Source organism: Homo sapiens, chromosome 1 (assembly GCF_000001405.40).
Source record: "Homo sapiens chromosome 1, GRCh38.p14 Primary Assembly".
Lineage (NCBI taxonomy): Eukaryota > Metazoa > Chordata > Mammalia > Primates > Hominidae > Homo > Homo sapiens.
The window spans coordinates 70,861,632-70,888,958 of NC_000001.11; the positions used below are offsets into that span (position 1 = coordinate 70,861,632).

The 27,327-nt window shown below is 39.8% G+C and overlaps 1 protein-coding gene across 8 annotated transcripts in view; it reads right to left on the reverse strand.

The window, feature by feature from the left end:
* The window catches only part of PTGER3 (prostaglandin E receptor 3), a 195,459-nt gene that overhangs the window by 9,274 nt on the left and 158,858 nt on the right, over positions 1-27,327 (reverse strand). For 2 of the 8 annotated variants that reach the window (NR_028293.2, NR_028292.2), the window contains 2 exons: positions 7,613-7,688; positions 674-766 (listed from right to left, as the gene is read on the reverse strand). The exons of 4 other annotated variants lie outside the window; for them this stretch is intronic. The gene's annotated coding sequence lies outside the window, so the exon portion shown is untranslated. Of the gene's footprint in view, positions 1-673; positions 767-4,057; positions 4,203-7,612; positions 7,689-27,327 lie in introns of all 8 variants that reach the window. 2 more of the 8 variants (NR_028294.2, XR_946714.3) reach the window with 2 other exon arrangements.

The following is a 27,327-nucleotide window of genomic DNA, read 5'->3' on the forward strand; positions in this document are numbered from 1 at the left end:
TTAGAATTAACTAAAATAGCACTGACTAAATGTGAGTGGATGCAATGGGAATCTTCATGGTTCCATTAGCAAAAAAAAAAACAAAAACTTCTCTGTATGGTATCTGCAGCTTGCTGTGTGTTTCTCTCTCAGAATATTTATCATTCATAAAACTTACTTGGTGTTTTCTTTTTTTGTACGGAAAGCAAACTCTCATTTCTTAACATTTTTATGCTTCTGTGGAACTCTTTGGCTGTTAAAGTTTATGTAAGAACTTCTATTTCATAATAGCTTACTGTTTGGTCCCTTCCCTCCTTGGAGCTCAGGATAGACTAGGTCTTGAGGGGAGGGATGACATCTTAACCATCTAGTATTTCCAGTATCTAGCACTTAGTAGTTGTTTAATCAATGAAAAGTGGATGATTGAGAATAATTGAATAAAACTGTTGTGAAAGCCCCATTAATCTGAGGATCTATATATTGGCCAGGGTGGGCCTGGTAAGAAGTAAAATTTAGTGTCTAAGAGAGATTACCTGAAATATTGGAATTTCAGGGAACCAAAATTAGCACCTCTTTTTTTCACCCACTCCTGAATTTATGAAATGAGATACATAAAACAAATGGAGATTTAAACATACTAAGTAAAAAAAAATATTAATAGTAACTGGTAAGTTCTTTGGAGATCATGACTTACATCTGCTGTCAAAATAGTTCACAGATACTTCATCCCAGGGTTAGGCAGATTTATCTTCAAGTCATCAGCTTAGCTGGACACTGCAGGGTTCTCCTATTATGTGATAGGCAATAGAAATATTGTGCTGAAAAAGTCCTGCTTTCACACTGTTGAAGTGAAGTGAATGGATAATTTGGATATGGTGTAATGGTGAACTATAGGGAATTAAGGGAGGACAGGGGAGAGTCTCATGGCTTTGACTTAGAAAGCTCAAGGAATGAAATATCCAAGATGTGTTTTGAAGGAAGGATAAGAGCTGTCTAATAAAGAAGGGAATGCTCTAGACCAGAAAACCAAACCAAAGAAAACAAACATGAAGTGTTTGAGGAACAAAGCTTTTTGTTTTTAATGATCAGAGGGTAGAAGATGAATGGCGGAAGAGAAGACAAGGAGGAGGAAAAGAAGAAAGAAGGGAGTAAGAATGAGACAGGAAAGCTTACTGAGGATGGATCAGGAAGGGCTTTGCAAGCAATTTTATGTAGTATCCACTGGACCCTCTCCTAAGGGAACAAACAGCGGATAACTGAATGGTTCTTAGCAGGAGGATGGCACAATAGATCTTTCACTGTGTGAAACACTAAGAAAGATTGCAAAATAAACATTTAGGAGGCTTGAGCTCCAGGCAAGGCAGGAAAGTTGGAGAGAGGTCAACAGATCGGAGACACTTGTAGGATGTAAAGTCAAGAGGATTGGTGGTAGGTTATTTAAAGAAGGGGGCGGCCGATGCCCAGGTTCTCTGTCTTAGAGAAAGAGATGATGGGCCATAACATGAGCTACAGTTGCATCTAGTTGCTATGGATTTATTTGCTAAAAGAGGATTTTTTTTTTCTCAGTCTCAGCTGGAACAAATGCTCTCCCATGTTCGTCTTTGCCCAAGATGTGATCCGGAACAGTTCAATACAATTAGCAACTTCAGTTCAGATCATTGGCAGGATTGAAATAGCAAAGTGTGATATCACCTACAAATCAAGATGTATTACTAAGCATCCTTAGGGTGCTTTGGATCTGTATGATTAGCTTCCCCATTGATCATGTGTTCAGGCTGAATTTCACTGTCCTGTCTTCAGAGAATACAGATGACTAATAATCCAGATGTAGCTGGTTAGAGGATTCTACTGCAAGAAGAAAATTTTGACTCTAGTAAAGCCAACCCTCTTCAAAATCATAGATCATGAAAAAATCTTTAAAGCTATTTAGGACAATGTTTTCAACCCTGGGTCAAGATCCATTCATGAGTTACGAAATCACTTATGTGGCTTACATCTTGCTTGTTTGTCTTAAAAACTGAACTAGAATGTAATAGACTAGAATAGAAAATATCAAAGCACATCACATATATAGCAAATGGATTTTTTTTTTTTGTGAAACAAGCATGGATAGGAACAGAGAAGAAAGGCATTTTGGTAGCAATAACAACCTGAACGAAGGTAGAAAGGTAGGAAAACATAAAGAATGTGTGGAGAATATCAAGTAGTTCATGATGGCTATGGTGAGTATATGGTAGATGATTTGTGGAAGATAAAATTGGATAATCACTGAAACCCATATTATATTGGGACATGAAAAACAACTCAGGAATTAGCATGTCATTCAGTAGGCAATAGAGAATCATGGAAGGTTCTTGAGCAGGGAATCTACATGATGGAAAGTTTAATATGAGAGCAGTGGGGACGATCATTCTTTACAGAAATCGGGTAGCAGTTGTAGCAATAATCCAGACACAGGGAACTAAAAATCTACATGTTAAATTTCTTCCTACCTCAGAGCTTTACACATGCCATTCCCTTTGCCTGGGTCACTCTCCACCACAGCTTTTACCACCTTATTCTAGCTATTTACTTCTAGTTTTTTTTTATATTAGTCAAATTTTTTATCTAAGAGAAATTTTCTGACCTCCCCAAGACTCCTATTATATATATCACTCTTGATCAGGTAATTAATGTGCTGTTATTTCATGTCTGTGTCCTCTGCTAGAATGCAATGTCCATAAGCAGAAGGAATCTGTCTTGTTTACAGCAGTTATCTCTAGCAATTAGGGTGCCTTGCACACTGTTGACTAATAACTTTTTGCTGAATAAATGAAGGAGCTGTGATAGTTACCATAGAAAAAAATTAAACACGGAGGACATTGGAAAGGAAAATCAGCATGACTCAGGGATTTACTGGGTCTTACACCAAGGGAAAGGAAAAGCCAGAGATTCAGTCATTCCTCTGTAAACAAACATTTGTTCCACATACCCTGTGTGTAAGACACTGGTGCTGGGCCCTGGGAACATGGAGATGAACAAGACATAGTTCCCTCAAATCGAGATGCTCACAGTTGGCAATCATCAAATTCTTATATAATCCTTACTATAAGCCCAGTACTTTTTTGTTTAAAGCACTTTATATACATTAACTGGACAACAATTTTATGAGGCAGATACTATTATCAGTCCCATTTTATAGCTAAGTTTTGTAGAAATTAAGCCAAGGAGAAATTAAATAACTTGCCTAAGTTCACACTGGTAAGTGTCAGAGCTGGGATTTGGTTGCTTTTTCCTAACTCCTAAGCTATATTGCTTCTTTGATTTTCACAAAGTGGCATAATAATAGATAGTTCAGAATACCTGGTCCAGAAGTAGCCCAGAAAAGAAAGTGGCCATCTATCCAGAAGGCAGAGTCAAGGAAGGGGACGTGACAGTGTCATGTGGAAAGAGTGATAGGGAAAACATTACAGGTGATAGCATTTCAAGGCAAGAAAATATGAAAAAAAATGATATTTTGGGAGATCTACAATCCGTTTAGAATTTCTGGTGAATTCCTGAAGGGAGAGGACAACAGATAAAGCTACTGATGAGGTCAGCAGGAGAGGTTTGTCTACCACCCTAAGGCATTGAGACCTAATTCCAAAGGTTGTCAGGAACATGGGACTATCAAAAGCAGTAGGGGTGTGGTGAAGTGGGATATGATCCAAAATCAGACTTGCTGATTGGGAATACCACCCCAGCAGTAGTGAGGAAGGATAGGTTTAGAGTGTGAGCTGGAAATAGAGAGACAGATTAGGAAGTGACTGCAATCAGACAGGCAAGAGATTATGAGGGACCCCTTTAAGGAATTAACAGTGGACACAGAAAGGATTTAAGAGCACTGCAGAACTTGGAGAGTCACTGGATGTTGGGAATAGAAAGGAAGCAAGCTAAGGATCTCTTCAGGGTTCTTGACTTATAAAATCAGGCCACAAAAAGATAGGTGGGACAACAGAGATGAAAGATGGTAAGTTATTTTTGGAGCATGTTTCATTAGAGATAGGCTGACTTCCTGGGTAAAAAGTCCTGTACTTGGCAATGTGGAGTCTTTACTTACTAAGAAGTTTGAAGCTCGCAAGTGTTAGTGGAAGTTGTGGATGTGATGAAGACATGGCGGGAAAGGACAAATCCAAGAACCAACGGAAGGGCTGAGCACAGAACCTTGAAGGATCAATCACAGTAGAGGTGGGAAGAAGAGGAGCCTGAAGAGAAGAGCAGAGATGACATGACTAGAGAGGCAGGAAGACACTCATCTAGAGCCACATCACAGAAACAAAATTGCCACACCTTTCCTGGACTGTCATCCGGGAAATTCCTACTCATTTCTTCTTCAAAGTTCAACTCAAGCACTTCCTTCTCTGGGAAGCTTTCCTTGACTGCCCCCTTCCATGTAAAAGCCTGTTTCCCTTTGCTGCCAACTGCTACTTGTGTACAACTTGAACTTTAAAGAAAGTACCCCTTCATATCTTTCTGTCTGAACGCCCGTCTTAATGCTTCGCTGTAAGCACCTTGGGGGTCCCATATCACATTGCTCACCAGAGGGCTTGGCCTGTAGAAGATGCCTAATACATATTTGCTGAGTGAAGCCCTGTAGGAAACATTGAGTATCATTAAGACTTCCTCAGAAGAGCCACTGCAAAATCTGTGCCAACTGTTGATGCTTCTAGAACACAGACTTACTTTCAGTTTTCCAAATAACCCATGTTGGTCTCAATGAAAGCCTTCCTATTAATTACCTTCTGAAGTCCTAATCTTATTTCAGAGGCCAATTACATCTTCCATGGGTATATTTTCACTACCAACCCAGAGATCAAACCACCATCAAAGCCCCCGAGTCCTGAGTTAATCATCCTTCTATACAAACTTTCTTATGCATATTTTTTTATTGCATAGACCAATGATATGCTCATCTCTGTGTCTTACATCAGGATGACCAGACTATGAGCTTTTCGATTGAAAGACCAATGTCTTGAAGATCTGTGGCTCCAGCAGTTATCACAGCAGCCAAGCATTTGGTAAAACCTTGGGAAATGGAAGAGGAATTAGATGGTGCCTTGATTTCTGGCCATCAAACAGGCCACCATCAGAGGGCACTGGCGGCTCTATCAGGCTGAGATTGCTTGAGGTGTTCCCACAGCCTGAATCATAGGCCATTTGTGATGGAACTGTAACTCCAATCTGGACTTCTGCATTTTTTCCAGGCAGCGGGATAGGGGGTGCATGCTCTTACTTCTGGATCAGCTTCTCTGCTCCGAATGCCTTACTGGATTTTAAACTACTCTCTCTGTCTCCATGCTAAGTTACAGCCTGTTCTCCTTACCACATCAGAGGTGTGTCTAAGAAACAGCTCTGCTCAAAGCATGTTATACAAGGTTTTTCACAATTGCCTCAACCTGCCTTTACAGTTGTATATCTGCCACCAGTCCTGGTTTACCACCACACTGTCAATACAAAATTCTCTGCTGTTTCCTGAATAGACCACAGATGCCCCCACACTAGTGCTCTTAGCTTAGGCTGTTTCCTCTTCTGCAAATTCCCTTCTCCACCTCTAAGAGTTCTAACTTGTCATGCAAGGCTTTTGTATTATCTACTTGATAAAGAGTTCTCTAATCATCCAGGTAGAGTTTTTCTCTCTGCATTATGTTGCAGGCTTTTAAGAATGTACCTTTATTATGGCACTTATCACACTATTCATATTTATTTGTTTGCTTATTCCTCTTCCATAGTTTAATATTCTCACTTTGAGGGCAAATATTAAAACCTTCAAAGAAATCTACAGGCTGTTTACTTGCAATTAAAAATGTCTGGGCCAGTTGCGGTGGCTCACACCTGTAATCCCAGCATGTTGGGAGGCCGAGGCGGGCAGATCACTTGAGGTCAGGAATTCGAGACCAGCCTGGCCAACATGGTGAAGCCCCATCTCTACTAAAAATACAAAAACAAATTAGCCAGGTGTGGTGGCAGGCGCCTGTAGTCCCAGCTACTTGGGAGGGTGAGGTGGGAGAATTGCTTGAACCTGGGAGGCAGAGGTTGCAGTGAGCCAAGATGGTGCCATTGCACTCCAGCCTGGGTGACAGAGTAAGACTTCATCTAAAAAGAAAAAAAAAAGTCTGGAAAGATAAAAATCCTGACATGGTCAGTAAATACATCCACAAGGCCAGGCTAGATCTTAAGGAAGCTCTCCTACTTGGAGTCACAAGACAGAAACTTGCAGGTACATTATTTACAGATTAATAAAATCCTTCAGTGGCTCAAGTTTATCTATGCTTAGATTGCAAACAGACAGCATTTGATTCACAGTCCTGTCTTCCTCATCCACAATAGACATTACTAAATACCATGAGAGGCAGGAGTCTGTAGGCCCTCCAGATTAATTTTATTTGCTGTTTTGGCCTATAAGATAAAAGTCAAACTCCTAAGCAAAACATACAGGGTTATTATACCTTAGATATACCATGCTGTTGTATATCCCAGGCTTTTGCATACACTGTCCCCACTACCTCCAATCTGTGTACCTTCACCCAGTCCCGTTTTTCCTATCAACCATTTAGTTCATCTAGTATACTCCTATGTCACCTTTACAATTCCACTCAAACCTCACCTCCTCTGTGATGCCCACCTTCACTTTCATGAGAAGACTTGGGCTTTTCCTCTCTATGCCCATGGTGTTTCTGAATACTTCTGCTACTTATAGTTATAAATCACTTATAATTGTCTATTGCCTTATTGTTTTCCCTTTGAGACTGTAGTTGTTGATTGTAGGTTCTGTGTCTTATCTCCATAGCTTTAGAATATGACACAGTGTCTGTTTATTATTTACAAGCTCACACTGAGTTCTCCTGGAGGTGGGCACAAAGTAATGTACAAATAGAACATAGAAATCCAAACAGATGTCATTAGGGAAGCTTGTGTGCAGGTAGAAAGATCACAGCCACTAAGATTTTGCTCTGGATAATAAAGCCTTATCTCCAGAGAGGCAGGACTGTCTGAGTGAAACGAAACTCTTCGTAGGAAGGATCTAGAAAATCATGAAGACTTCTAGAACAAGAATGAAAATGGAAGCCAAAATAAAAATGGAAGCCCTTTTCTATAAAATGGAACATTAGTGGAAACTCATGCATGAGTTCCAATCATCATCAGAAGAATGAACCTCAAAAGTTCATAAATCTTGAATTATAGCTGCTCTGTAACTGTACAAGAAAGAAAAATACAATGCCATAGTGGGAGGTTGTGGGAGCCACAGGAAGTGGCTCAAGAGATTGGGTGGTAGACAAGAATGAATGGGCCCAGCTATAAGAAGCTGGGTGTATTAGGCCGTTCATGGTTCCCAGAAGCTGGTTCCCCAGAAGCCAAGCAGATGCCAGTGCCATGTTTTAAAGCCTGCCGAACCATGAGCCAATTAAACCTCTTTTTTTAAATAAATGAGCCAGTCTCACGTATTACAGCCTGCAGTACATTCCAGTGCCATGCTTGTACATGCTTTACTCATAACGGAAGGCAAAACAGAAGGCACTTCATATGGCAAAAGCAAGAGCAAGAGAGACTGTATGTGTGTCGGGGCAGGGGTGGTATCACACTTTACAACAACCAAATTTTGCAAGAACTCACTCACTATCATGAGAACTGCACCAAGTCCTGGGGACCTGCCTCCATGCATGACAAAAACACCTTCCATCAGGCCCCATCTCCTACATTGGGGAATACAATTCAACATGAGATTTGGGCATGGACAAATATCCAAACTATATCATTCCACCCCTCTTCTCCACCCCTAAATCTCACATCCTTCTCATGCTGCGAAATACAGTCATGACTTCTCAATAGTACCCCCAAATCTTAACTTGCTCTGGCATTAATTCAAAAGTTCCAAGTCTAAAGTCTAAGTCCAAAGTTTCATCTGGAGATAAGTTCCTTCCACCTATAAGCCTGTAAAGTCAAAATAATTTATTTACTTCCAAGATACAATGTGAGTACAAGCATTGGGTAAACATTCCCATTCCAAAGGGGGAAAATTGGCCAAAAGAAAAAGGCTACAGGCTCTATGCAAGTTTGAAACCCAGCAGGGCAGTCAATAAATCTTATAGCTCCAAAATAGTCTCATTTGACTCCATGCCCCATATGCTGGACACAGTGGTGCAAGGTGTGAGCTCCCAAGGCCTTTGGCAGCTCTGGCCTGTAGCTTCGCAGGGTTCGGTCCCTGTGGTTGCTGTCATGGGTTGGAGTTGCATGTCTGTGGCTCTTCTACACTGAGGGTGCAAAGTGCCAGTGGTTCTTCCATTCTTGGGTCTGGAGGATGGTGGCCCTCTTCCCACAGCTGCACTAGGCAATGCCCTGGTGGGGATTCTGTGTGGGGACTCCTATGCCACATTTCCTCTCTGCACTACTTGAATAGAGGTTCTCTGTGAGGGCTCACTCTGATAAGCAGCTTGGACATCCAGGCTTTTCTACATGTTCCCTGAAATTTAGGTGGAGGGTGCCAAGCCTCCACCACTCTTGCACTCTGTATACCTGCAGGCTTAACACCATGTGGAAGCCACCAACACTTATGGCTTGCACCCTCTGGAGCTGCTTCCTGAGCTACTCCTGGGCCCCTTTGAGCCATGGCTAGTGCTGGAGCAGCCAGGATGCAAGGAGCATTGTCCTGAGGTTGTGCAGGGCAGCAGAGCCCTGGGCCTGGCCCACAAAATCATTCTTCCTTCCTAGGTCTTTGATCCTGTGATGGGCTGTCTCAAAAGTCTCTGAAATGCTTTCAAAATTGTTTTCCTATTGTCTCGGCTATTAGCACTTGGCTCCCTTTTATTTATGCAAATTTCTCTAGCAAGTGGTTTCTCTGCAGGCTGCTTGGATTCCTCTCCAGAAAAATGCTTTTTCTTTCCCTGCCACATGGCTAGGCTGAGAAATCTTCTAAACATTTATGCTCTGCTTTCCTTTTAAATATAAATTCAATTTTAAGTCATTTCTTTGCTCTGGTATCTGAACATAGGCTGTTAGAAGAACTCAGACCACATCTTGAACAATTTGCTGCTTAGAAATGTCTTCCTTCAATCTAGATACCTTAGGTTGTCACTCTCAAGTTCAAACTTCCACAGATTCCTAAGGCATGGATACAATACAGCCAAATTCTTTGCTAAGGAATAACAAGGGTGACCTTTGCTCCAGGTCCCAATAATTCCTCATTTCAGTCTGAAATCTCCTCAGCCTGGATTTTATTGTCCATATCACTATCGGCATTTTGGTTACAACCATTTAATGGGTTTCTAAAAATTTGCGAAGTTTACCTCATCTTCCTGTCGTCTTCTTCTGAGATGTCGAAACTCTTCTAACATCTTCTTGTCACCTAGTTCCAAAGCTGCTTCCACATTTTTGGGTATCTATCTTTATAGCAATGCCTCACTTCTAAATATCAATTTTCTGTATTAGGCCATTGTTGCATTACTCTAAAGAAATACCTGAGACTGGGTAATTTATTTTAAAAAAAGGTTCAGTTGGTCCATGGTTCTGCAGGTCACACAAGCATGGTTCTGGCATCTGTTTGGCTTTTGGGGAGGCCTCAGGGAGCTTTTACTCATGGTGGAAGATGAAGTGGGAGAAGGCACTTCACATAACAAAAGCAAGAGCAAGAGAGACAGTAGGGGGTGGGTAGGTGCCACACTTCGCAGCAACCAGATCTCATGAGAACTTGCTCACCATCATGAGGACACCACCAAGCCATGATGGATCTGCCTGGATGAACCAAATACCTCACATCAGGCCCCATCTCCAACACTGGAGATTACAATTCAACATCAGATTTGAGCAGGGACAAATATCCAAACTATATAACTGGAGAAGCCTCTGCCAGAGTTTTGAGATAGGGCTGACAGCAGAGACTATGTCCATGTCGGTATTCCTGGTATTGAGTTCATAACAAATGCTCAAGAAATGCTTGTTGAATTGTTAAGTCATGATTTTTTCACCATGGGCCCCTTGGTGAGAGAACTGAAACCAATGATTAGTCCCAAATCATTTGAGAAGGGTAGAGGAAAGCAAAAATGAGGAGAGCCTGAAGTCACACTAAGAATTTTAATGTGAATGCAAACCTTATTACCTAATGAGCTAGAGGCATACATTAGATGCAGAAATATCAACCTTCCTCTATCCTGAGCTGGACTTGCAATTTTTTTTTAATCTTAGGGCTTTTATAACCTGAAATGGGTACAACTACTAAATCCATATCTAGGGTCATTCAATTTTCAAGGTGCTATTTTAGCTTACCAAAAGTTAAAGTATGCTCTCCCCTCCCACATTCCATTTGAGAAGTCTATCTGTCAGATTAAGATACTTTCATCAAGGTCACTAGACTGCTTGTCAAAAGTCTTTTAACGTCAGTCACTCCAAGAATTATAAATAGCTTTGGCCTCAAACACGATTGTGTTGAGGGAAGGGAGGGAAGAAAAGGAGAAGAAGTGTGACAGTTGACTTTTTAAAAGCCATTGACATATTAAAGCTTTGAATTGCTTTTAAAATTTTTCTTTCCCATGAGTTTGAGGTTTATTGGACACGTTGATCTGAATGGGCACGGGCCTCTGCTGAGAAAGTTGTGGGAGATGGTCGGTGTTTTTCTTGGTTTGTATGTTCATATTGTCCTTCCTGAAATGGTTAGGGGCATTTCTCTTGAAGAACTATTAATAGTCTACATTTTTAAATCTTGTAAACAGTTGTGCATAACTGATGGTGTTTCCCTCTGTAATAGTTACGTATAAGCTTTGTGTCAAAATTTTGCTTGACTTCTTACTAGAGTGAGACATTTTTCAAACTGAATAAAAATAATGACCATTACTGAACACTGACTATGTTCCAGGTACTGGACTAAGCACTGAGCATACAGCTATTGCTCGCAACTTATAATAACAAATGAATAAAATTCTACCTTTGGTCTCCATTTACAGATGACAGAAGTAAGACTTGGAGAAATTAAGTAAGATGACCAAAAGTTAAGTCAGACCTCATTCTATTTGACGCCAAGGTTTGTGTAGCATATATGACATCTAGACCACAAACTCCAATGTATATGAAATAGCTCATTTTTTATAAAATTAACAAAAATTGTTCTCATAGTCTATTTTGCTAGAGTGGTAGAGAATTCAGTTGAAGTCACTACTGGGACTTGCCACACCATAGAGTTGTGCTGAATTCCTAAAGTTAGTTATAGGGAGTGCCACATCATCTGAGATGTAGTCATTGGTCCTTTGTCCACTGGGTACCATTAAGAATCTCTCTGTTCCAGACTGTGTGATCCTTTCCACTAACACATAACACCTCCCTGGGGTGGTATTTTGCTACTGAGAAATGCCTGGGCCCTTGACTTTGACCCTCTTTTTGGTTCAGGAGGCATAGCTCCCTCTTTCCAAGCTTCTGAAAGTATTCTCTCTATCCTGCATCCTCAGGATAATAGTAGCATAGTCTTTTCAAGAAGTTCTAATATGACAAAAAAAAAATCTCTTTTAAGTGTCTTTTGGTTTTCCACCCTGTAAAAATCCTAGAGGCAGAGCAGTTCTAAAATTCCAGTTGTGAGGTAGGAAAATATAGGAAGAATAAATAAGCTAATATTCCACAAATTATTCTGCTATGTGCCTTCTTTCTTTAGGTTTACCAGGTATAGTTTGGTCTGAATAGGTATGGTCCATTGATGGAACATAATGAGCTTTGATTATTGTGTCTTTTCTTTGCAAATCTATTTTCTAGCACCCACTGCCAGAAATGGTTGTATTTCTTAGAAACCATGGTTTATTTTTATTTCATGGGCACGGTGAGTCATATAATAGACTACATTTCCCTTTCTGCAGGTTTTTTGGAGACATTTTGATCAGATATGTGTCTGTGTACTCTGACATTCTTACAACGTATTTTCTAGACTAAATTGTATAAAATTTAGAGAGATTTGTTTTGTTTATTTTATTTTAATTTTCATAGGTTTTTTGGGGGAACAGGTGGTGTTTGGTTACATGAGTAAGTTCTTTAGTGGCGATATGTGAGGTGCTTTTTTTTTTTTTTTGAGACAGAGTCTTGCCCTGTCACCCAGGCTGGAGTGCAATGGCACTATCTCGGCTCACTGCAACCTCTGCCTCCCGAGTTCAAGAGATTCTCCTGCTTCAGCCTCCTGAGTAGCTGGGATTACAGGCACGCACCAGCATGCCTGGCTAATTTTTTGTATCTTTAGCAGAGACAGGGTTTCACCATGTTGGCCAGGAGGGGGTTTTGGTGCTTTTAAAATACTATGTATTATTATATATGTCAGGACCTGGGAGGGAAGATACGTAATGAAAGTGGTCTCTTGTTTGGTCTCTTCTTAAAATTTTAACCTTTCTGTTTTGAAAACATCTAGCTTCCAGATTTTTATGTTTCATAAAGAAATATAGCATTATTACTAATAATAGTACTTGTTTTAGACCTGATGTTACAAATACCAAAAAACAAACATACAAACAAACAAACAAACAAAACTTTGTGTCTCTTTAAGTATTTGTTTTTCTTCAATGGAATTTGGGGAAGAAGGTTGCAGGTCAGACCAAGGAAGTGGAGCTGGGGCCAAACTGCAGCAAGCAGAGCTCAGTGCAGAACTGCATGTACTCACACTTCCTCAGCCCCTAGGCAGAATGGCAGACCTGAGCTTCCCCACCCTTCAGGACCGGAGAGAATTGAATTTATTTCTACTTAAGTTCCAGTAGGTTGCCATGCTGTCTGTGGGCACTCAATAAATATTGACTCAATTGCGTGTTGCCATGGGTTATCTTCCTTTCTCTCTTTTCCCTCCCCAGCTCCTCTGGCTGGTTCCTTGGGTTTTTAAAAGTTATATACATTTTTTCAGTGTTTCATTTGTTTTTATGTCATTGGTTTTCAGTGTTAGGCCTCTCTGTGTTCTAAATATTACTTCTTTGTGTTTGTTTTCTCTGTCTGGTTCTTGCCTCACAACTTGTCTCTGAATCTGCCCTTCTTTGTTTTCTTTCTTTGAGACTCTGTTTCTGTATTTCTCCTTTCTATCTCTTTATGTCTCTCCTTCTGTCTCTGTCTCTCTCTCTGAAACTTCCCCATACCCCTTTCTATACTTCTGTTTGTTCCCTTCCAGAACTGTCATCAAATCATTGCATTTTCCCAGGAGAAATTGAACACACTAACAGATTTGTATAAGTGTTCAGAATAATTCATTTTATGTTTTTTTTTTATTTGAAACAGCAGTTTCAGTCCCTAAATATAGGAACTTGGGAAAAGTAGATCAGTGTCTATGTTGACCATAATACATTCTAAATCATACAGAGTGATTGAATCAGCTCTCCTTTGGGTTTTCTATTTGCCTTCTGCCCAGACAGGATTGCATTCCTCTGCGCATTCTGACACAAATGCAGTGACATTTCACCAGGCAACTATTAGCCTAGGGGGAATATTCAGCTTCTCCCTTCCCCTAGTGTTTTAAACCTCATTCCAATAATTTGGCCTAAGATGTTGGCACAGAAATACTGGTTGCAAAAAGTCCTTGGAGACTGATGCTGACTTTCTGCCTTCTATGTCTCAATTTTAGGGACAAAAATGAGACATGGGTTTGCAATGGCTTTCCTTCAGCCACTTTCTGGTTAAGATCTGAAGGGTGTGATCAACCTCCCTGGGGTTTGACAGGTTACTGTCCTGCTGTTGACATTAAAATTAATTCTCTAAACATCATTTGTGCCTAGAAAGGTAACAAACTAATCAGTACTTAAGCAAGTATATGGAGGATTGAACTTTTAAAGTGGCATGGACAGACTGTAAAAAAGGCCTGTGTCCTTGTTTTAGGAGAAGAATACAATTTCTTTTTTCTTCTTTTTATTTTTTAAATTTATTTTAGGTTTAGAGGTACATGTGTAGGTTTGTTATACAGGTAAATTGCACATCACAGAGGTTTGGTGTACAGATTATTTCATCATCCAGATAATCAACAGAGTACCTGATAAGGAATTTTTCAAATCTCTCCTTCCTCCCACCCTCCAGCCTCAAGTAGGACACAGTGCCTGATATTCCTTTCTTTATGGTCATGTGTACCCAGTGTTTAGCTCCCACTTATAAGTTAGGATGTGGCATTTGGGTTTCTTTTTCTGCATTAGTTTGCTTAGGATTATGGCCTCCAGCTTTATCCATATTGCTGTAAAGGACATGATCTAGTTCTTTTTATGGCTGTGTAATATGTTGTATATCCATCCATGGGCATTTAGGTTGATTCCATGTCTTTGCTACTGAATATAGTGCTGCAATAGACATACGCACCCATGAGTCTTTATGGTAGAATGATTTATATTCCTTTGGGCACATACTCAATAATGGGATTGCTGGGTTGATTGATAATTCTGTTTTAAGTTCTTTGGGGAATCACTGCAGTGCTTTCCACAATGGCTGAACTAATTTACATTCCCGCCAGCAGTGTATAAACGTTTCCTTTTCTCCACAACCTTGCCAGCACCTGTTGTTTTTTGACATTTTAGTAAGAGCCATTCTGACTGGTATAGATGGTATTTCATTGTGGTCTTGATTTGCCTTTCTCTGCTGGTTAGTGATGTTGAACATTTTATAATATGCTTGTTGGCCATGTGTATGTCTTCTTTTGGACACAGTCTGTTCATGTCCATGCCTACTTTTTAATGGGTTTTTTTTTTTTTTGCTTATTAATGTGTTTAAGTTCCCTGTAGATTCTGGATATTAGACCTTTGTTAGATGTGTAGTTTGCAAACATTTTCTCCCATTCTCTAGGTTGTCTGTTTAGTCAATTGATAGTTTCTTTTGCTGTGAGAAACTATCAATTGAATAAACAGATAAACTAGAGAATGGGAGAAAATATTTGTCCAGTTTTGTTTTTGTTGCAATTGTTTTTGGTGTCTTCATAAACTATCTGCCAGAGCCTATGTCCAGAATGATGTTTCCTAGGTTATCTTCCAGGGTTTTCATGTTGTGGGTTTTACATTTAAGCCTTTAATCCATCTTGAGTTGATTTTTGTATATGGTATAAAGAAGGGGTCCACATTCAATCATCTGCGTATGGCCAGCAAGTTATCCCAGCACCATTTATTGAATAGGGAGTCCTTTCCCCATTACTTGTTTTTGTCAACTTTGTCAAAAACAAGATGCCTGTAGGTCTGTGGCTTTACTTCCGGGCTTTCTATTCTGTTCTATTGGTCTATGTGTCTGTTTTTGTATCAGCACCCTGCCCTTTTGATTACTGTAGCCTTGTAGTATAGTTTGAAGTTGGGTAACGTGATGCCTCCAGCTTTGTACTTTTTGCTTAGAATGGCCTTGGCCATTCAAGCTCTTTTTTGGCTCCATATGAATTTTGAAACAATTTTTTCCAATTCTGTGAAGAATTTCATTGGTAGTTTGATAGAAATTGCATTGAAACTGTAAATTGCTTTGGGAAGTGTGGTCATTTTAACAATATTGATTCTCCCTATCCACAAGCATGGAATGTTTTTACATTTGTTTGTGTCTTCTCTGATTTCTTTGAGCAGTGTTTTGTAATTCTCATTATGGAGATTTTTCACTCCCTGGTTAGCTGTATTCCTAGATATTTTATTCTTTTTGTGGTGTTGTGAATGGGATTGCATTCTTGATTTGGCTCTCAGCTTGGACATTGTTGGTGTATAGAAATGCTACTGATTTCTGTACATTGACTTTGTATCCTGAAACTTTGCTGAAGTTTTTTATCAGATCTAAGAGCTCTTGGGAAGAGACTATGGGTTTTTTCAGGTATAGAATCATATCGTCTACAAACTGATATAGTTTGACTTCTTCTCTTCCTATTTGGATGCCTTGTATTTCTTTATCTTGCCTGACTGCTCTGTCTAGGACTTCCAGTACTATCTTAAATAGGGGTGGTGAGAGTAGATATCTTTGTCTTGTTCCGGTTCTCAAGGGAAATGCTTCCAGCTTTTGCCCCTTGAATATGGTGTTGGCTATGCGTTTGTCATAGATGGCTTTTATTTTGAAATATGTTCCTCCAATGCCAAGTTTGTTGAGGGTTTTTAGCATGAAGGGATGCTGACTTTTATTGGAGAGCTTTTTTGTACCTATTAAGATGATCATGTTATTTTTGGTTTTAGCTCTGTTTATGTGGTAAATCACGTTTTAATTTGTGTATGTTTAACTAACCTTGCATCCCAGGGATAAAGCCTACTACATCATAGTGGATTAGGTTTTGTTGTGCTGCTGGATTTGGTTTGCTAGTATTTCATTGAAGATTTTTTATCTATGTTCATCAAGGACACTGGCCTGAAGTTTTCTTTTTTTGTTGTGTGTCTGCCAGGTTTTGGTATTAGGATCATGTTGGCCTCATAGAATGAGTTAGGGAGGAGTCCCTCCCCCTCAGTTTTTTGGAATAGTTCAATAGAATTGGTACCAGTTCTTCATTACAAACCTATGGATGTCATAGGTTTGTAAGTCTGGTAGAATTCGGCTGTGAATCCGTCTGGTTCTGGGCTTCTTCTGGTTGGTAGGCTTTTTATTACTGATTCAATTTCCAAACATGTTATTGGTCTGTTCAGGGATTCAGTTTCTTCCTAGTTCAATCTTGGGAGGTTATATATTTCCAGGAATTCATCCATTTCTTCTAGATTTTCTAGTTTGTATGCATAGAGGTGTTCATCATAATCTTTGAGGTGTTTTTGTGTTTCCGTGGGATCAGTGGTAAAGTACCCCTGGTCATTTCTGATTGTGTTTATTTGAATCTTCTTTCCTTTTTTCTTTATTAGTCTAGCTCATGGTCTGTCTTAATAATTTTTTCAAAAGACCAACTCCTGGAGTCATTGATCTTTTGTGTATTTTATTTTGCATCTCAATTTCCTTTCATTTTGCTCTAATTTTGGTTATTTCTTGTCCTTTGCTGGCTTTGGGGTTGGTTTGCTCTTGTTTCTCTAGTTTCTCTAATTGTGATGGTAGTTATTAATATGAGTTCTTTCTAACATTTTTATATGAGCGTTTAATGCCATAAACTTCCCCCTTAACACTTCCTTAGCTATGTCCCAGAGATTCTGGTATATTGTATCTTTTTTCTTATTACTTTAAAAGAATTTCTTCATCTCTGCCTTCCTTTCATTATTTACACAAAAGTCATTCAGAAGCAGGTTGTTTAATTTCCATACAATTGTATTGTTTTGAGTGATTTTCTTAGTATTGATTTATATTTTTATTGTGCTGTAGTCCGTGAATGTAGTTGGTATGATTTCTGTTTGTTTTTTGGTTTGCTGAGAATTGCTTTATGTCCTATTGAGTGGTTGATTTTAGAGTATGTGCTATGTGCAGATAGGAAAAATGTATATTCTGTTTTGGGGTATAGTGTTCTGTAGATGTCTGTTCAGTCCATTTGGTCAAATGTTGTGTCCACATCTTGAATATCTTTGTTAGTATTTTTGCCTCAATGATATGGTTAATATGGTCATGGAGTGTTAAAATCTCCTAGTATTGTTGTGTGGTTATCTAAATCTCTTCATAGGTCTGTAAGTATTTGCTTTATGAATTTGGGTGCACCTGTGTTGGGTGGATATATATGTAGGATAGTAAGGTCTTCTTGTTGGATTGAACTCTTTGTAATTATGTAATGCCCTTCTGTCCTTCTTTTTGTTTTTTGTTTGTTTTGTTTTGAGACAGAGTCTCACTCTGTCACCCAGGCTGGAGTGCAGTGGCATGGTCTCAGCTCACTGCAACCTCTGCCTCCCAGGTTCAAGCTATTCTTGTGCCTCAGCTTCCTGAGTAGCTGGGATTACAAGTGTGAGCCACAGCATCTGGCTAATTTTTGTATTTTTAGTAGAGATGGAGTTTTCCCATGTTGGCCAGGCTGATGGTCGAACTCCCAAACTCTAATGATCATCCCACCTTGGCCTCCTAAAGTGCTGGGATTATAGGGGTGAGCCACAACGTCTAGCCTCCCTCTTTCTTTTTTGATCATTATTGGTTTAGTGTCTATTTTGTCTGAAATTAAAATAGTTACCCCTGCTATTTTCTGTTTTCCATTTGCTTGGTAAATTTTTCTCTGTTCCTTTACTTTGAATCTATGGGTGTCATTGTCTGTGAGATGGATCTCTTGAAGACAGCATACAGTTGGATCTTGCTTTCTTCTTCACCTTGTCACTCTGTGCCTTTTAATTGAGGTATTTATTCTGTTTGCATTTAAGGTTGATATTGATATGTGTGGCCAGGTGCAGTAGCTCACACTTGCAATCCCAGCACTTTGGGAGGCCGAGTGGGTGGATCATGAGGTCAAGAGATTGAGACCATCCTGGCCAACATGGTGGAACCTTGTCTCTACTAAAAATATAAAAATTAGCTGGGCGTGGTGGTGCGTACCTGCAGTCCCAGCTACTTGGGAGGCTGAGGCAGGAGAATACTTGAACCTGGGAGGCAGAAGTTGAAGTGAGCCAAGATTGTACCACTGCACTTCAGCCTGGTGACAGTGAGATTCCCTCTCAAAAAAAAAAAATTGATATGTGTAGGTTTTATCCTGTAATCATATTGTTAGCTGGTTATTATGCAGACTTGATTGTGTGGTTGCTTTATAGTGTCAACGACCTATATGCTCAAGTGTGCTTTTGTGGTGGCTGGTAACAGTCTTTCCTTTCCATATTTAGCACTCCCTTAATGACTGTGCAAGGCAGTAACAAATTCCCTTAGCATTTGCTTGTCTGAAAATGATATTATTTCTCCTTTGCTTATGAAACTAGTTTGGCTGGATATGAAATTCTTGGTTGGAATTTCTTTTTTCTTTTTTTTTTTTTTAAGAATGCTGAGGCTGGGCGAGGCAGCTCAGGCCTGTAACCCTAGCACTTTAGGAGGCCGAGGTGGGTGAATCACCTGAGGTCAGGAGTTCGAGACCAGCCTGGCCAACATGGTGAAACCCCATCTCTACTAAAAATAAAAAAATTAGCCAGGCATGATGGCGGGCACCTGTAATCCCAGCTATTCAGGAGGCTGATGCAGGAGAATCTTTTGAACCCAGGAGGCGGAGGTTGCAGTGAGCTGAGATTGTGCCACTTCACTCCAGCCTGAGTGAAAGAGCAAGACTCTGTCAAAAAAAAAAGAAAAAAAAAAAAAAGAATGGTGAATATAGGCCCCTAAGTCTCTTCTGGCTTGTAGAGTTTCTGCTGAAAGTTCCACTGTTAGCTTGATAGGGTTCCCTTTGTAGGTGACCTTCCCCTTCTCTCTAGCTGCCTTTAACATTTTTTCCTGCATTTCAACGTTGGAGAATCTGACGACTATGTGTCTTGGGGATGGTTGTCTTATATAGTGTCTTGTAGGGGTTCTCTGCATTTCCTGGATTTAAATGTTGGCCTCTCTAGTGAGATTGGGAAAATTTTTATGGATCATAACCTCAAATATGTTTTCCAAGTTGCTTGCTTTCTCTCCCTTTCCTTGGGATGCCAATGAATTATAGATTTGGTCTCTTGGTCTCTTTACATAATCCCATATTTCTCAGAGGTTTTATCCATTCTTTATTGTTTTTGCTTTATTTTTGTCTGACGGAGTTATTTCAGAGAAGCAATCTCTCAAGCTCTGAGATTCTTTCCTCAGCTTGGTTGATGGAGCTGTTAATACTGGTTGTATTATGAAATTCTTAAAGTGAGTTTTTCACCTCTGTTAGTTCAGTTTGATTCTTTCTTAAAATGGCCATTTTATCTTTCATCTCCTGTATTGTTTTATTACATTCTTTAGATTCCATGGATTAGGATTCAACTTTATCCTGAATATCAATGATCTTCATTTCTATCCGTATTCTGAATGCTAGTTCTGACATTTTGGTCATTGCAGCCAGGTTAACAACCTTTGCTGGGGAACTAGTGTGGTCATTTGGAGGTAAGAAGACATTTTTGCCTTTTTTGTTGTTGTTGTTGTTGCCAGAGTTCCTGCACTGTTTTTGTCTCATCAATGTGGGCTCATGTTTCTTCAGCCTTTGAAGTTGCAGTCCTTTGGATGGGCTTTTTGCTTTTATCTTTTTTGGTGCCCTTGAGGGTTTGATTGTGATTCTCAGTGGGATTAGACAACTGGCTTCAATTATAGTCTGCTCCTGGGTCTTGGAGGAGACCCCTCCAATTACTGTCTCCATGACTGTGTTTCTTTTGTTGGGTGTTCTGGTCCACAGGACTTCCTTAGGCAGAGGTTGCAGTTAGCAGACAAGCCATTTCCTTGCTGGGTTGGCCCTAATATGTTGTTTGAGTGCTTCTCAGGGAAACATAAGGTTGCACCTGTCTACAGAGTTTAGGCAAAAGCAGAACCACTGAGCTGGAAGCTCTAGCAGATGTGGCCCATCTTGCTATGAGAGGCAGGGGTAGGTGGAATTGCCCACCCTGCCATCTGGGTGTTTCCAGGGCAACAGGAAGCTGCACCTCCAACAAATTTAGACAGAGGTGGAACCTGTGAATTGGAAACTCTGGCAAGCATTACCCACTTGGCTTCCAGTGGTAGGGGTTGGTAGGGTCACCCTTCTTGCCATCTCAGTGTTTCTCAGGAAAAAGGCAGGCTTTGCCTGCTAGCTGAGTTCAGGCAGAAGAGGGTTTTCTGGGCTTGAAGATCTAGCAGGCATTGTCCCCCTTGGCTACCATTGGCATGGGTGTGTGGTGTCACCCACCCTACCATCTGGGTATTTCTCAGGACAACAGAATGCTGCACTCTTGGCTGAGTTTATGTAGAAGTGGGACTGTTCGGCTGGAAGCTCTAACAGGCATTGTCCACCTGGTTATCAGTGGTGGGGATGGGTGAGATCACTTGTTCTGCCATCTGGGTGCTTCCTGGGACAGCAGGAGGCTATGGCTGCTGGCCAAGTTCAGGCAGAAGCAGCACCACTGGGCTGGAAGCTGGTAGTGAGCCCTGTCCAATGAAATGAGGATAGATCAATCTTATTTCTCCCAGACACTGCAAATGTGGCCTCTATTGGAGCTATGGTGACAGTGCTGGTCTGCTTTGGGGCCAAAGGCTTGCAGAGGCCCTCTTGGACTCAAAAGTTGCCTCCACAAAATGACCAGGTGGCTCTCTACCTCAGTTTATTATCACAGATGGGAGCGTGGGGGGCCAGAGGGATTTTTCCATTCCCAGTCTTGCATAGGTCCCTGTGGAGAGTGCGAATCTTCTAGGGGGCTCTCACTCGCTCACCCTTTACCATGTGGGAGAGGTTCTCCTGGTTTCACACTAAGCCAAGATAGGCTGGTGTCCAGCTTTGCTTCTCTCTGCTCTGTGTCCCCTGCTGCCTTGATGGATCCCAATGTGGTTTCTCAGATGTTTGGCCTGCAGGGTCAGTGTTCACTAGCCCTTTTGTTTCCTTTCTGAGAGCAGCACACGTGAGCTGCTTCTAGTCTATCATCTTGGACCCTCTAATCTCTTTTTCTTTGAGCTGACATTATTGAGGGCCTTACATGTTCCAACAACTTTATGCAAAATATCTCAATCCTTACAGCAACCCTAAAAGTTAATATGATGATACCCATTTTGTAGGTGAGGAAACTGAAGCTAAGAGAAGTTAAGTAACTTGACAGAGGTCATACAAAATAGCACAGTTGAAACTTGTTGAACATGAGTATTTTTATGTTCCTGAGGGCAGTTTTTATGCCTAGAAAAAAACCTATTTAACGTAATTTTGGTACAAAATTAGTATTCAATTTATTTAAACTCTTGTTCTTCTTAAGCTTTTAGGTTAGTTTATAAATCTTATTAACACATTCATAAACATAGCAAATTTTATAATTACTTTGAAGGAAGATTTCACAACTTAATTAAATTCCTTAAATATTTAAGCACATTTATTAATGTAACATATTTCTGTTTTCTTTTGAAGTATACCAATTAGGTGACTTAAGAAACTTCCCAAGAACTTAAGTCACTCTTATAAGCCTAATAAATTAAATTTATAGGTATGATGAACCTGAAGTTCTCTTAAATGTTACAAGTAAGATTTTAATCTGAAATTACAAGCCTAAAGCAATTACTCACCCATTTTAGCTTGGAATTACAATGTTGACCTGTTATTATAAAACGTCCAATTTTCTTAAATAATTCTAGTAACTAAAATTCTAATAGGCACATATTTCTAAATAAAAACATTTTAGAGTTGCGACTTTGACATTTTCATGCTCTATAATACTAAATGTTGCTATCATTAAACGATCAGAACATGGCCAGGCACGTTGGCTCATGCCTGTAATCCCAGCTCTTTGGGAGGCCAAGGTGGGTGGGTTACTTGAGGTCAGGTGTTCAAGACCAGCCTGGCAAACATGGTGAAACCTCATCTCTACTAAAAATGCAAAAATTAGCCAGGCTTGTGGCGCATGCCTGCAATTCCAGCTACTTGGGAGGCTGAGGCAGGAGAATCACTTGAACCCAGGAGGCGAAGATTGCAGTGAGTGGAGGAGGTGAAGGTTGCAGTGAGCGGAAATCACTCCACTGCACTCCAGTCTGGGTGAGAGAGCAAGACTCCATCTCAAAACAAACAAACAAACAAAAAAGGATCAGAACACAATTATATCATCCTCAGTAATTTTACCATCCTAAGTAATTCTGAGACACTTATGTGTAATGCTGTTGTGTGGGACACCCTGATTCTTATTTATCTGTCTCAGTGCCCTCTGAATTAGACAAAATTCTGATAGCCTCCAAGATATCCACCCCCTGGTATACACATGCTGTATAATCATCTCCCCTTGAGTGTGAGCAGAAGCTGGGAATATCATGGGTAATAACTCCCATGATTATGTTACATTATATTGCCAAAGGTATTTTCCAGATGCAATTAAGTTTCCTAGTCAACTGATTTTGAGTTAATTGAAAAGGAAAAGTTCCTGGGTGGGTTTGATTTAATCTGGCAAAACCTTAAAAGAGATAAGCAGGAGCAAGAGCAGCAGCAGCATCACCACTTTCCTGCTGACCTTAGAAGATGATCTCAAGCCTCAAATGAGACCACAGCCTAGGCTGACACTTTGATTTCAGCCTAGTGAGACCCTGAGCTGAAGACCAAGCTAATGCATACCCAGATTCATGCACAGAAATTGTGAGATAGTAAAACTGTGTTGCTTTAAATCACTAAATTTATGGTGATTTGTTAGGAAGCAATAGAAAATTAATACACTCTCTAACTGGGGTGGTCTTATCATGTGTGTCCCTTAAATTCAGTGTATACATGTGTAATTCTGTTCACTTACAGAGATTGGAAACCCTATACAGTCTGCTATAGAATTTTGCATCATTTTCTGGCTGAGATATTTAGGTGTCTTTCTATGTAAAGGAACTCCATCACGTTCCTAGATTATTGTAAATAGGAACATGAGGGGAATCCTCTATATTTGTTGTATGCTTCCTTTATTTGGGACACAACTCTTCTAGATGTTAAAATCACATCCCACTGAATTCTGTAAATTTTTGGCACTTTGTCTAACTATTCCAAGATCATTTTCCTGAAAATGCAAGAGCCAAAATTTGTCTGTTTCTAAAGAATTAGACTCTTTTTACTTCTTTTAGTGACCAGGAATAAGTTTTTGAGTTTTGAAATAATATTGAGATGTTTATTGTTCCACTTCATTCTGAGAGCATTCTAAAGCTTCTCTGAGTTGGACTTCTGAGGTTCTCTGTGGTTGCTCTGAAGCAATAGTAGTTATATTCTAACATCATTACTCACTCCATCCATAAAAAATGTGTTATACTCCATCAAATGGTTTTTAAGTCCATCTGTGCATTTATTCATTAAGCTTTTCTTTTAACAGTACAATGATAATTAACCCATGTATGTACATAACACTCTAAGAAAGATACAAAGAATATAATATACCATTTCTGTTCCATAAGACTTTATGATCTAGTTGGAAACAAGATATAGATGCAAAAAATTTTGCATACAAAACAATATGGGTTAAGTGGTACATATATTATGTAATATGACTGATACAAAATATAAGTGGAGATAGAGATGAGAATAAGTTTAAAAACTTCATGGAACAAGAAGTATTTAAGCTCATTCATTCATTCAGCAAGGATGAATTTAGAAACTTTAATGTGTCAGGCACTGTGCTAGGCTCTGAGGGCCCAAGAATAAGGTGCAGTCACTCCCTTCACCAAGCTCACAGTCTAGCTGAGGAAACAAAAAAAAGGGAAAATAAAAGAATAAAGATATACAATATGATAAATGCTATTACAGTTGTGTACAACATGCAATGCAAACCAAATGGAGAGAGGAATAATGCCGGCAATGAGGATGGGAGGAAGCATATGGCAAAGGAGCTTTCAAAGGGGATATTCTTGCTGAACCTGATAGAAAAAATAATACTGTCCTTTTGTGACCATTTCTTATGCTTCAGGAATGACCCTAAGTACTTTTATACTAATAAACCTCATATGATCCTCACAACAACTTCATGTGATCAGAGATTGCTAAAGACTGCATATTTGTCTCCCCCATACCTACCCACCAAATTCATATGTTGAAACCCTAATCCCCAGTGTGCTGACATTTGGAGATAGAGCTTTGGGAGATAACTGGGTCATGAAGGTGAGACCCACATAATGGGATTAATGCCCTTTTAAGAAGAGACAAGAGAGAGCTTGCTTCCCTTCTCTGTTTTCTCCACCATTTGAGGATACAATGAGAAGACTGACATGTGCAAACCAAAAAGAGGGCACTCACCAGACACCGAATCTGCTGGCACCCTGATCCTGAACTTGCCGGCCTCCAGAACTGTGAGAAACAAATTTCTGTTGTTTAAGCCACCTAGTCTGTGGTATCTTGTTATAGCTTCCCAAACTGACCAAAACAGGGATACAATACCAATGGAGAGTAGTTCCTAAAGAAGAGACTGAAATCATCAGACCACAAACTCATCATCCCTCTGCCTGGGACACTATCTCCCAGATACCACAAGGCTCACTTTCTCATTCATTCAGGTTTCCATCTAAATGTCATCTTATCAGAAAAGCCTTCCTTGATCAATCTGTCGAAAGCACAACCACTTTCCTCTCTCTCTTCTCTTCACTCCCACATCACTCTCTGCATCTTTACTCTGCTTTAGTTTTCATCATGGCAATTATTAGACATTTTCTGTCTCCCCTAACTAGAATAAGCGTCTCATGAGGACAGGAATTTTTGTACTGTTCTTTATCTCCAGGGCTAAGCACAGATCCTGGCACACACTGGATGCTCAATAAATATGGTTGAATTCATGAATGAATGAATGAAGTGACTTGCCAAGGTCATACTTTTGGTATATGGCAGAGCTGGTCCTTGGATCAAGGTTTGTTTGACCCCATTGACCCAGTTCTTAAATACTTCTCCTCACTGCTTAGAAGGAAGAATAAGTTAACACTAGAGACAGAATAAGTTGCAACATAGGGGATGTGAGAAGGAGGGTCCTGAAGATGAAACCAGGGAAATAGTTTGGGATCAATAATGAAACATCTAGAAGTCTTGGAAGAGAAGTCTATAATTTTTCCTTTGGGCATGAAGAAAAAGCTTACTGAGTGGGGTTACGAGCCCCTCAAAGTACTAATGGTGAGGGCTTGAGAACAGCTGAGAGGGGAAAGGACATTTATATGGACTCTAATAACACTTTGGATCTTGTTGCATTTCCATTGAAATTCTACAGAATACTGCTATCTCAAGGGGACTAAGTGGATAATTTAGTAAATACATTCCTTCCTGGCACTTTTCATGCATGACTTGGTATAGTCTGTTAAAGGCTTTAGCTTTAGGTTATGGTCTGCTTTGATCTCCAAGCTCTTCTGCTGATTTTCTGCATGTTGCTGGTTATGCTTATTACAGTTCTTTCTCTTCTTTCAACCCAAATGTGTGTAATTTGTCCTGTTGGTAACATTCCTGCCTCCCCCATTTTTGGTGGAATGAGGAAGGCTCAGGTTTCTAAATCTATAGTTTTTGATATTTTTTTTATGGCATGGGAAATAACTGAAATCTGCTTCCTTTTAGTGCAATTCTAGGTTCTAATATGATAGATTTGTTTATTGCTCCTATATATACTTATTTTTCAACAAAGTCTCTAAATAATTTTTCTCTGTATATAAATTTCAAATTCTTGCTATTTTCTCTGTGGTGCATTAGAGAATATAAAGCAGATTTTAAAAATCTGTTTTGCTTGTGAGCTGGCTGATTTATATTAGCTATTATGTTCTAGCTGGGTGGTTATGCTGTTTCATAATATTCCAAAACTCATATTAAGACCCAAACTGCAGACCACTATGTAAACAAGAGCAAAGAGTAGAAACATATTTTCTTTCTTCCATTATGTTTGGATATAAGATTCTATTTAGATCTTTCTGAGTAACTCAAAATAGGTATGGGTAAAGGCAGCTTCATATGTGTTTGTTCCTGACCAGAAAGCAATGAAGCAATAACACTGTTTCTGTCTTTCATTTTGGTGTTAAAGCATGCAAAGCTGTGGGAGTTGACTATTTGAAAATCAGCATAAGAGTACCATGTACACTAGCAAGCTTTCTCCTGGCTTTTCTCCAAGCTGAGTTTCCAGGAGCAGAGAACAGACTCAAAAAGCCCTCTTAGCAGACGTAGCAGTCATGGTTGTGTTGCAATAGGCACCTCACAATCGTGAAGGGGCATCAAAGTGATGGCCTTTTATGAATTCGGGCAGATCCAAAGACTCTGAAAAACCACCATTTAAAAGGATAAATAATAGGCTTCTGGAGACAATTAAAGAGAGGGTTAGGGAAGTTCAGGAACATCAAAATGTATCTATGTAGATCCTATTTTTTTCAGCCTCCCAGGTATTTTAAAAATTGCATATATTTAAGTTATACAACATGATGTTTTGATACACATTTGCATAGTAAAATAATTACTACATTCAAGCAAATTAATGTATCTATCATTTCACATAGTTACCTTTGTGTGTGTGTGTTTGTTAAGAGCCCATAAAATCTGTCTTAGCAAATTTCCAGTACACAATATCATTAACCATAGTCCCCATGCTATAATTTAGATCTCTAGACTTATTTATCCTACATAACAGCAACTATGTTTCCTTTAACCTGCTTTCTCCCTGTTCTGCCTCCCATCTCAGGCTTTTAAATTCATCCGAGATGTGAAAAAAAGCACAATCTGTGCTAAGAAACTAGGCTTTGGTTTGTGAATTTGGGGATTTTTTTTTTCTGATGGAAAAGACTGTGGGGCATAAGATGTAGTTGTGCTGTTGTTTAGCCATAGATTTGTGCAAATTAGAAAAAGATGCCTGTTTCTTTGGGATTCGCCTTCCCTCTCCTCTGCCTGGCACCCTCGTGGTATGAATAATGTGCATAACAATTTGCAGCAGCCCTGAGATAGGGTGGGCCATAGTGCACAGCAGG